The sequence below is a fragment of the Homo sapiens genome, chromosome 2 (genome assembly GCF_000001405.40).
Source record: "Homo sapiens chromosome 2, GRCh38.p14 Primary Assembly".
Classification (NCBI taxonomy): Eukaryota; Metazoa; Chordata; class Mammalia; order Primates; family Hominidae; genus Homo; species Homo sapiens.
The window spans coordinates 224,441,037-224,451,913 of NC_000002.12; the positions used below are offsets into that span (position 1 = coordinate 224,441,037).

A 10,877-nucleotide genomic window follows, 5' to 3' on the forward strand; every position below is an offset into this window, starting at 1 on the left:
GTCCCTTCTAACTCTACCCATTTTTCTCTAAGGCATTAATTTGGCAACCAAATGGCAAAGTCACCCTTTGAATGTTTCCTTTCATTGGGTGAGCATTACATAAGCAACCTGTGACAACGTGGCCTTTATGAAGCAAAACCTGACTCACCCAAGTGAGAAGGGGGAAGAGAGAAGCTTCATCCTTGATAACGCATTACCGGAACTTCCAGGTTCTATTCTGGCCCAGGTAGTCAGTGCTCCCTGCCTCTGCAGGCTTGCGGGCTTGCCATTCAGATATCCGTGGCTTCATCCCAGCTACACACCCTCACCTCTTTGACTCTTCCTCTAACAATAGTGCTGGCACATTTTAGTGCAAAGAGGAAAGAAGGAACAAGCTTTTCAGTATCCAGGACAGCACACAGTCATAACCACAAGGGGAAAAATAGGAATGAAGAAGAGTGGATTGCCATAAACCTCATCCAAAGGAGATGGGTCAGGGGGCCTCAGGAGACTGTGGGACCGACTGTTCCAGTTTGAGAACCCACTTAGAGAACCCGCTGTCTCACCCATCACTGGATCTTTTCATGATGGACATGGGGGAGGGGTAAGGACTGGGGTACTAGAGAGTAAAAGAAGACAGTTTCAGTCAGGTGCGGTGGCTCACGCCTATAATCCCAGCACTTTGGGAGGCTTGAGCGGGTGGATCAACTGAGGTCAGGAGTTCAAGACCAGCCTGACCAACATAGTGAAACCCCCCGTCCCTACTAAAAAAAGTACAAAAAATTAGCCAGGCCTAGTGGTGCGTGCCTGTAATCCCAGATACTCGGGAGGCTGAGGCAGGAGAATCGCTTAAGCCCAGGAGGCTGAGGTTGCAGTGAGCCGAGATCGCGCCACTGCACCCCAGCCTGGGCGACAGGGCGATACTCGTAAAAAGGAAAGAAAGAAAGAGAGAGAGAAAAAAAAAAAGAAAAAATATAGTTTCCATGACTTTTTGTTTGTGTAGGATGCAAAGTGACTGCTGTGTGCTGTGAAAGATGGGACAAACGGCTTTGAGCTCAAGGGACATGGATTTGGGAGGAATTCAAAATGTGAAGCCTAACTCAGGATTCAGGAACCAGACTAACAGAGGGCAATGAAACAAAACCAGAGAACTCAGGCCCAGAGCCAGCGAGGGAGAGGAAGGACGCCGAAGCGTAGCGTCCCGCGCCGCCCCCCGCCAACCCGGGAGGACGCAGACCCCCCAGAGCCGGTGTCCAGCCCCACCTCTCCGGGCGCCTGCAGGAGGGGAACCGCGCGTCCCATCGCCCGGACCCCGGGCCGGCGGCGCGGCCGAGTCCCGCTGCTTCCGCACTCGCCCCGGGACCCGGACCCCCGCCCCACCGCGCCCCTCCACCTCCCCGCCGGCCGGTGCCACGTGTAACGCCGCGGGGGAATCCCCGGGGACACAGGGCTGGCTGGATTCGCCTCTCGGCCACAGCTCTGCGCTCCACGAGCTGCTCCTGCCCGGTCCCCGCAGGACTCGAACCCGCGACACCTCTGCCGCGCCCTAGCCCTCGCGCCCCGCCGGAGTCACCCCCTGACACTGCCAGGATCCCCGCCCGGCTGCGGGCACCACGTCCCCCGGGCCTTCGCGGGGCCCCGAGGGCCAAGACCGAGGACGCGCCGAGCCGAGGCTGCCTGGGGACCTGGTCCATCCGGTTCTGATGGGGTCCGCAGGGAAAAGGCACTATCCCGGAAAGCTTCCTGGAGGAGGGGAGCGCGAAGGACGAAACTGGGCCTCCCTCTAGGCGGAGCTTAGTGTTTAAAGCTGGCCGGCCTTTCTCCTTTTCATAGTAATTATTCTCTCACTAAGCTCAGGAAGCACGCCCTCCACCATCTCATTAAGCGAACCGGCTGTGGCTGACTCTTCCCTCCTCTAACAACTGTGGCTCCTCATAGCCGGCACAATGACGTCCAAAGCTGTCGGCTCCCGCACGGGTTCCTCCCTTTGAGGCTTGTCTTTCGCACTCCTTCCACCTGCTCGGAGAACTGCGCCCAGGTGGGTTCAGCAACTAGCAGGTGCCATGAAGAGACCCTCAGAGAAGCGGCCGGCCTACCTGGCGCCCGTTACCCCTCTCGCCGCAAACCCACTTCCCTGAACTGTTTTGCAGTTCACAGCCTCTCTCCCCGCTCTAAAAACTAAAAACAAATGAACACTGAAGAGCTCCAGGCTTCATTTTTTTTTTTGAGACGGAGTCTGGCTCTGTCGCCCAGGCTGGAGTGCAGTGGCGCGATCTCGGCTCACTGCAAGCTCCGTCTCCCGGGTTCACGCCATTTTCCTGCCGCAGCCTCCCGAGTAGCTGAGACTACAGGTGCCCGCCACCGCGCCCGGCTAATTTTTTGTATTTTTAGTAGAGACGGGGTTTCACCGTGTTAGCCAGGATGGTCTCGATCTCCTGACCTTGTGATCCGCCTGCCTCGGCCTCCCAAAGTGCTGGGATTACAGACGTGAGCCACCGCGCCTGGCCCCTCCAGGCTTCATTTTTTAATTTTTTCATTCTTCCCTTCCTCCCTGAGCATCAGGAAGTTGCAACGGTTTTGCTGCTTGCACCCTCACATAAATGCACACGGCTCACACTCCAGCCCCAAGTGAGAGATTCGCCTCTCGGCCACAGCTCTGCACTCCACGAGCTGTCACGTGTTCCTGACAGGCAGGTCTCTTCTGTTTCCTACCCCATCCTCCTCCCTCTGGGATCTGTTCAGCAGATACCACCATGCCAGACTCCTGCCACTTTTCCCACCCACCCAGGAGATGGGAGAACAGATGTCAGTTTTCCCTTAGCAGTTGAGGCCAGCCAGGGTTTTCCAAAAGGAACATTACTCCTGAAAAGTATTTAAGAAAAAGTAATAAAACTTGCTTTAAAAAGTCAATCGTGGAAGTTCCAGTTTCTAGCCATTCCTTCCTTCCTTCCATTTGCTCTCCTGAAGGTTTGATCCAGAGATGCCCTCTAATCCTTGGGTTGTTCTCCTCCCCGTCCCAAAAGTCTTTCCCCAGGAGGGGTGGGATCTCAGCCACAGCCTGGTAGCTGTCATGCCTATGAGATGGTCTTAAGTTAAATGTGCACCGAATTGAAGACAGTTAACTTGATAAGTTGCTTGTTTTATAGGCCAAGTCTCAGATATCTTCAGCATATAAAAGCCACAGCCATGCCCAGTGGGGGTTACTAATTTTCTTAGAGTGACATCATGTGGTAAAGACAGGACCATCCAGCCTGGCTTTCAAAGTGCTGTGATATGTTGAAAGATGCAAGATGTGGGAAGTGAGAGAACCCCAAGGCACGAACCGAAGCCAGAATCATGGAATCTTAGGAGTCGAAAGGGACTAAGAATTTCTGACTCCCTCCCACCCAGTTCCAGAAGCCCCTAGTAAGGCTTCCCCCAGCGCTCCCTTAAGACCTGTGCCTAGACCTGGGGGCTGGAGGGTACCGTCCAACCTTGCCTGCAAAAGAGATGAGCCACCCACACCTGAAGAGAGGGAAGCCAGACCAGTTGTGATCGGGCTTCCTCTGTTGCACCTCAAGAAGCAAATCAGATGTTCCCTTACAGATGGAACACTCAAAAAGTTCAAAAGATGTTTTTACAAAGGGTTGCCTGATCCTAACATGCCATGAACACTGGGCTTAATAGTCCCATCAACTAAAGACTGAAAACAGCATTTTCCCAAGTGTGCTCTGTAGGATTCAGTAGATTTTGGGTGAATAAAAGGATTCCATGGTCAAACACATGCGGATTAAACAAATATGGGACTTAAAAAAAAGTAAACAGGGTAACATGAGGGTTGCTTGCAGTCTTAGAGCGGTTGTGTATCTTGGCTGTATCAAGGTTAATATCTGGTTTTGATAATCCACTATAGTCTTGCATGATGTTACCATTGGAGGAACTGGATGAAGGGTAAACAGGATCTCTCTTTTATTTATTTATTTATTTATTTATTTATTTATTTATTTATTTATTTTTGAGATAGGATCTCACTCTGTCGCCCAGGCTGGAGTGCAGAGGCGCAATCACATCTCAATGAAGCCTAAAACTCCTGGGCTCAAGCAATCCTCCCATCTCAGCCTTCCGAGTAGCTAGAACTACAGGTGTGTGCCACCATGCCTGGCTAACTTTTTATCTTTACTTTGTAGAGACGGGGATCCCCAGGTTGCTCTTGAACTCTTGTTCTTAGGTGATCCTCCTGCCTCAGCCTCTCAAAGCGATGGGTTTACGGGCCGAAGCCATGGCACCCAGCGCATGATTATATCTTATATTGTTTACCTTATTATACCTATACGTTTATATACATACTATGTTTTTTATATGAGTCTATAATTATCACAAAATAGAAAGTTTAACTTAAAAAATCAAACAGTTTACAGTAGCACTTCTTAGAGAAGTTAATAACCTATGTAGATTTTTAATTTTTTTTTTTTTGAGACGGAGTCTCGCTCTGTCACCCAGGCTGGAGTGCAGTGGCGCAATCTTGACTCACTGCAGCCTCCACCTCCCTGCTGCAAGCAATTCTCGTGCCTCAGCCTCCCAAGAAGCTGGGATTACAGGTGCATACCACCATGCCCAGCTAACTTTTGTATTTTTAGTCGAGACGGGGTTTCACCATGTTGGCCAGGCTGGTCTCGAATTCCTGAGCTCAAGTGATCCACCACCTTGGCCTCCCCAAGTGTTAGGATTACAGGCATGAACCACCGCGCCCAGCCTGATTTTTAATTTTTAAAAGGGTACCAGTCTCTATGTGCCCCCCGGTTATGCTGGTGTGGGCAACTGCTGTACTGAGTCAGAGCTGGTGTGCATGACCAAGAGAAGACATTGGAGTATTCTGAGGCTAGGTCAAAATATCCCTTAAAAGTTCCGCTTTGGCCTCTTAGATATATATAAAGCTGAATTCTATTTGCATTTGCCTGTGACTTTCTCTTCTTCTGCTGTCCTTGTCCTGTCTGGGTATCAAGGTTATATAAGTTTCATAAAATTAGCTCGATAACTTCCTCTCTCTTTTTTTCTCTGAAACGGTTTAAGATAAGACAAATGGCCTGGGCGCGGTGGCTCATGTCTGTAATCCCAGCACTTTGGGAGGCCGAGGCGGGTGGATCACGAGGTCAAGAGATCGAGACCATCCTGGCTAATATAGTGAAACCCCGTCTCTATTAAGAATACAAAACATTAGCCGGGCGTGGTGGTACGCACCTGTAGTCCCAGCTACTCAGGAGGCTGAGGCAGGAGAATCTCTTGAACCCGGGAGGGGGAGATTGCAGTAAGCCGAGATCGCGCCTCTGCATTTCAGCCTGGGTGACAGAGAAAAAAAAAAGTTAAAAAAAAAAGTAAAAGAAAAAAACGATAGGACAAATGATCCTCAAAAGTTTGGTAAGACCTTCCCTGTAAAAATCATCTGGCCTGGTTTCTAAACATGTCTAGAAGACACAATCTTTTTTCAAGGGGTAGAGAGAATGCTAGGAGAACCTTTTGAGGGCTACTTTAATTTCTGTTATGGCTATGGGTTTATTCAAAATTTCTTTGTCGTTTTGGATTAGTTTCTGCAGTTCATATATTTTTTAAGAAAAGTAAATATTTTATCAAAGTTTTAAATGTTCATGTGTAGTTTAAAAAATGCTTACTAAATCAATAGATATTGCCTCTTCTTATTTCTTATTATAGATTAAAAAACGGCTTTTGATTTTGTTGATTCTCATTCCTTTTTTTTAATACTTTGTTACTTTCTGCTCCTGTTCTTTTTTTTTTTTTTCTGAGATGGAATCTCTCTCTGTTGCCCAGACTAGAGTGCAGTGTAATCACCTCGACTCACTCCAACCTCTGCATCTGGGTTCAAGCAATTCTCCTGCCTCAGACTCCCAAATAACTGGGACTATAGGCACGCGCCACCACACCAGGCTAATTTTTGTATTTTTAGTAGAGACAGGGTTTCACCATGTTGGCCATGCTGGTTTCGAACTCTTGACCTCAAGTGATCCTCCTGCCTTGGCTTCGCAAAGTACTGGGATTTATTCCCACAAAATGAAATTCTAATAACTTTTTGCTGAATTCCACAAATGTTGGTATGTAACACATTTATTAGTATTCTCGTCTTACATATGCTGTCATTTCCATGGTGCCATCTTTTTAAAATTAATCCACAAATTATTCAGGATTACATTTTAGAGTTTCCAAATGTGTGTGTATATTACTTATTTTATTAGTACTTTTATTTACTCATTTTGGTATTTTTTATTGTTGAATTCTTATTTAGTTTCTTTTTTTTTCTTTTTTTTTTTTTCTTTTTTTGAGGAGGAGTTTCGCTCTTGTCACCCAGGCTGGAGTGCAGTGGGAAGATCTCAGCTCACTGCAACCTCCGCCTCCTGGGTTCAAGCAGTTCTCCTGCCTCAGCCTCCCGAGGAGCTGGGATTACAGGCACCCACCACCACGCCTGGCTAATTTTTTTTTTGTATTTTTAGTAGAGACGGGGTTTCGCCATGTTGGGCAGGCTGGTCTCGAACTCCTGACCTCAGGTGATCCGCTCGCCTTGGCCTCCCAAAGTACTGGGATTATAGGTGTAAGCCACCGCGCCCGGCCTTCTTTTTTTATTATTTAGTTTCAGTGTGACCAGAAAATGAGTATGGTCCATCTTTCAGGTGCCTATAAGTTCAAGAGTACTATATGTTTCTCTTACTTTTAAGTTCTTTCCTTTTTTATTTATATAATATTTTATGTAAAAATTAATGTATTTATATATAGTATAATATAAATTATATTTTGTCTAAAATCGATATTGCTATTCCAGCTTTTTAGGTTTATTATCTGATTACTGTTTGCATGAGACAAGTTTCTCCATCCCTTTAGTTTCAATTTATCTCATTGATTTCATTTTGTGTGTATTTTCTATAAGAATGCTATATGCTGGCCAGGCGCAGCGGCTCACGCCTGTAATCCCAGCACTTTGGGAGGCCGAGGCAAGTGGATCACCTGAGGTCAGGAGTTCGAGACCAGCCTGGCCAACGTGGTAAAACCCCGTCTCTACTAAAAATACAAAAATTAGCCGGTGGTGACACATGCCTGTAATCCCAGCAACTCGGGAAGCTGAGGCAGGAGAACTGCTTGAACCCAGGAGGCGGAGGTTGCAGTGAGCTGAGATCTTCCCACTGCACTCCAGCCTGAGCAACAGAGCAAGACTCTGTCTCAAAAAAAAAAAAAAAAAAAAAAGAATACTATATGCTATAGTCTGAATGTTATACCCCCACAATTTGTATATTGAAATTTAATTACCAATGTGATGGTATTAGGAGGTAGGCCCTTTCAGCAGTGATTAGGTCATGAGAGTGAAATCAATGTCTTTATAAAAGAGGCTCCAGGGATCTGCCTTGTCCTACCATGTGAGAACATGTCTAGAAGGCTCCATCTATGAACCACAAAGTGAGCCGTCACTAGAAAACCTGTCTGCTGTTGCCTTGATGATGGACTTCCCAGCTTCCAGAACTATGAGAAATAAATTTCTGCTGTTTATACAGAGTTGATGGTACTTTGTTACAGCAGCTGGAACAGACCAAGGCACTATGCCTAGAGTTTTTAAAAACTTAATCATACAGTCTCTTACTTTTTTATAGCAAGCTTACTCCATTTTCTAATTTTGTATTATTGATTGATTTAAAATGATTTCTACCCTCCTAGTTTTGATTTTCTGTTCACCTTCATTTGTCTTTCTTTTCTTTCCTTTTTTTAATAGTTTATTGAATTAGTGAAGCTTGCTATATTACCCCCTTTTGTTTTGGAAGTTACTTATAGTGTTTTCATTTTTTGACTATTTACCTTTAGTTGTCAACATACATATTCATCATATATTTTTCTAAATAATACAAAATGCTTAGTAATTTTACTTTTTTGTTCTGAACAACGGCAAAAAGTCCTTAGCACATATTAACTTCACATTTACATTTCCTCTTCAATTTATTATTATCTAGAGAGTTTTAGTTTTGTACTTCTTAGAGCACAACAAATAAAAATTGAGAATATTTTTATAGTCAATGGTTTATAAAGATTCATTTATACTTTATCAATTTCTGTGATTCCCCTCCTTATTTTGCGTTCCATATCTTTCCTCTACGTTTTTTATTTTCCTTCCTACTGAAGTATATTCTGCAATAATTATTTTAGTGAGGGTTTTCGTGTGGCTTTGGCTGTTGTATAGCATTGCATTTCCGATCAATTTCTGGTCCATGAAATAATTTATTTTGTTCTTCATCCAGACTCTCTCATAACAGTTTTCCCTTTTTATGGGATATCTGTATTTGCCACGGGTTTTGTGCAAGGGAAATAAGTTGAAAGGTTAACCTGTGGAGTCATCTTCAGTTGAAATCAGGGTTAATGACTGCTGAGTTCCTGGTCCTCAGAGGGAAGGACAGAAGCAGCTGAAAACAAACATAAATATGGCAACTTGCCTGACCTGAATGGAAAAAAAAAATTATGGGCAAATGCACATTTCAAAGGATATTTGGCTTTTCTCAGCTTTCTAAATTTTTGTTCTTTGTTCAATTCCTATCAATATTGGGGTGATAATGCTTGGTGTGCTGACCCCTGGTGGATTCAGTGAGTGCCAGTTTATGACAATTTTTGAAGGTGAAGTAGGTCTTATTCCAGTAGCCTGATTCAAATGCCGTAAGAGGCTAGGCAGGTTATATAAATGTGTCAGGTGACCCCATGTGACCATAGATCATGGTGCCAGTGTAGTGACAAATATGCCCTGTATATGACCATACACATGGCGCCAAGTGTTTTATGTGCCAAGTCACATAAAACCAATGGTAAAAAAAATGTTGGCAAAACACACACACATATGAACATTTGATTGGAGAGCTTGATTGGACCAATCAGTTTGGCCCAAACTACCTTGTTTAAGTTACACACAGAAAGGTTGTGCCCCTGCCCTGAGGTCTCACCCCAAGCTCAGTTTGTAAATTAATAACTAATGTTCTTTCCATGATCCACTCTTAATTTCCAAAAAAATAGTAACAACTAATCAATGCTACAGTGGGCTCTTTTTATAAACTACTATTAGACATTTGCTGACAAGACCCAATGGGAGAGAATATTATTCTTCAAGTGAATTCATGTATTATTGTCTGTGTTTTGAATAAAAACTTTGGTGGTATATATTATTTGGGAACTTGTAGAGCAAAATTTTCTCCTATAAAACATTAAATGTTATACTAATTAAGTATTTTTTCTCTAGCTTTTATACAGTCAACTTGAAGTTTAAGAACTTAAAATCAGATTCAAATCCTGATATGCTATATTTTTAACTGGGGAGCATGATTAGAATAAGAATGAATTATCTGAAAGTAGCAAGTACCAGTGGTTATCCAGAATCAAATATTTTATTTTGTCGAGGTTGGGAAAAATCCAAATTATATTTCTACTTTGGATATTTTAATTAATTTTAATTATGATTGTTAAAAGGCATTTAATCTTTTTTCCCCCTGGTTGATTTAAACTTACTTATCTAGTTGTTTTCCAGGACCTGTCTGATAGATACCTCACTTGGAAGCTACAGTGGCTTCCTATTACTTATCATGTTAAGTCTGAAATTTTCCACCTGCCAGTCCCCTCCAACATTCCATTTCTTTCTTTCTTTCTTTTTTCTTTTTTTTTTTTTTTGAGACGGAGTCTCACTCTGTCACCAGGCTGGGGTGCAGTGGCAGGATCTCAGCTCACTGCAACCTCTGCCTCCTGGGTTCAAACGATTCTCCTTCCTCAGCCTCACGAGTAGCTGGGACTACAGGTGCGTACCACCATATCCAGCTAATTTTTGTATTTTTAGTAGAGACGGGGTTTCACCATGTTGACCAGGATTACCTCGATCTCTTGACCTCATGATCCACCCGCCTTGGCCTCCCAAAGTACTGGGATTACAGGTGTGAGCCACCACGCCCGGCCCATTTCTTTTAACCACTGTATTTTTGGGTCTTAACTGTGCCACTCAAGACAATCAGACTGCTCTTCTCATGGGAAGGGCGTCCTGTTCTCAACCCTTGGCCTTCCCCATGTCTCACATGAATGTGAAGAAGTGGAGTGTGGCATCCCCAGGCAGATCTCCAATTCCATTTTCAAAGTCATCATAGATGGATTTCTTGGTTCTCATCTCTCCTTCGCACTCTCTTCCCTTAATACACTATTGTTCTCTCTTATCTGGTTCCTCTTACAGCCACTCAAGCTCCTGACAAAACTTTATGGTAGCATAAGAAACTTGAGGAATATGTGTGTGTGTGTGTGTGCATATATATATACACATATGTATACACACAAATACATATATATATACATATTTGCATATATGTTTAATGACATGAAATAATTGTCTAAAAGCAATCATAAAATTTAAAATAAAATATTAATACACAAATCCTTGGCTGAGCACAGTGGGTCACGCCTATAATCCCAGCACTTTAGGAGGCCAAGGCAGGCAGATCACTTGAGGTCAGGAGTTGGAGACGAGCCTGGCCAACATGGTGAAACCTCCTCTCTACCAAAAACACAAAAATTAGCCAGGGGTGGTGGCACGTGCCTGTAGTTCCAGCTACTTGGGAGGCTGAGGCAGGAGAATCACTTGAACCCGGAAGGCAGAGGTTGCAGTGAGCCAAGATCGCGCCACTGCACTCCAGCCTGGGCAACACAGAGAGACTCCATCTCAAAAAACATAACTAACTAACTAACTAACTAACTAAATAATTATATGGGACAATAACTCAAAAATACCACCATTTAAAAAAATCACATATACATACAAACTCTAACGTGTATAAATGCTGCCCATCCGTGACATTTACATACAAATTTTAATAGCTGTCTAAGGCAGTGTTTTCAAATTTTAGTGTGCAATAGAA

General features: G+C 44.2%; 1 annotated feature.

Moving 5' to 3' along the window:
* Positions 1,536–1,595: a silencer, noted in NCBI's record as "silent region_12380". NCBI's record gives its function as "represses an Ori minimal core promoter by ATAC-STARR-seq in GM12878 lymphoblastoid cells {active_cell/tissue: GM12878}" and the evidence as "EXISTENCE:reporter gene assay evidence [ECO:0000049][PMID:35858748]".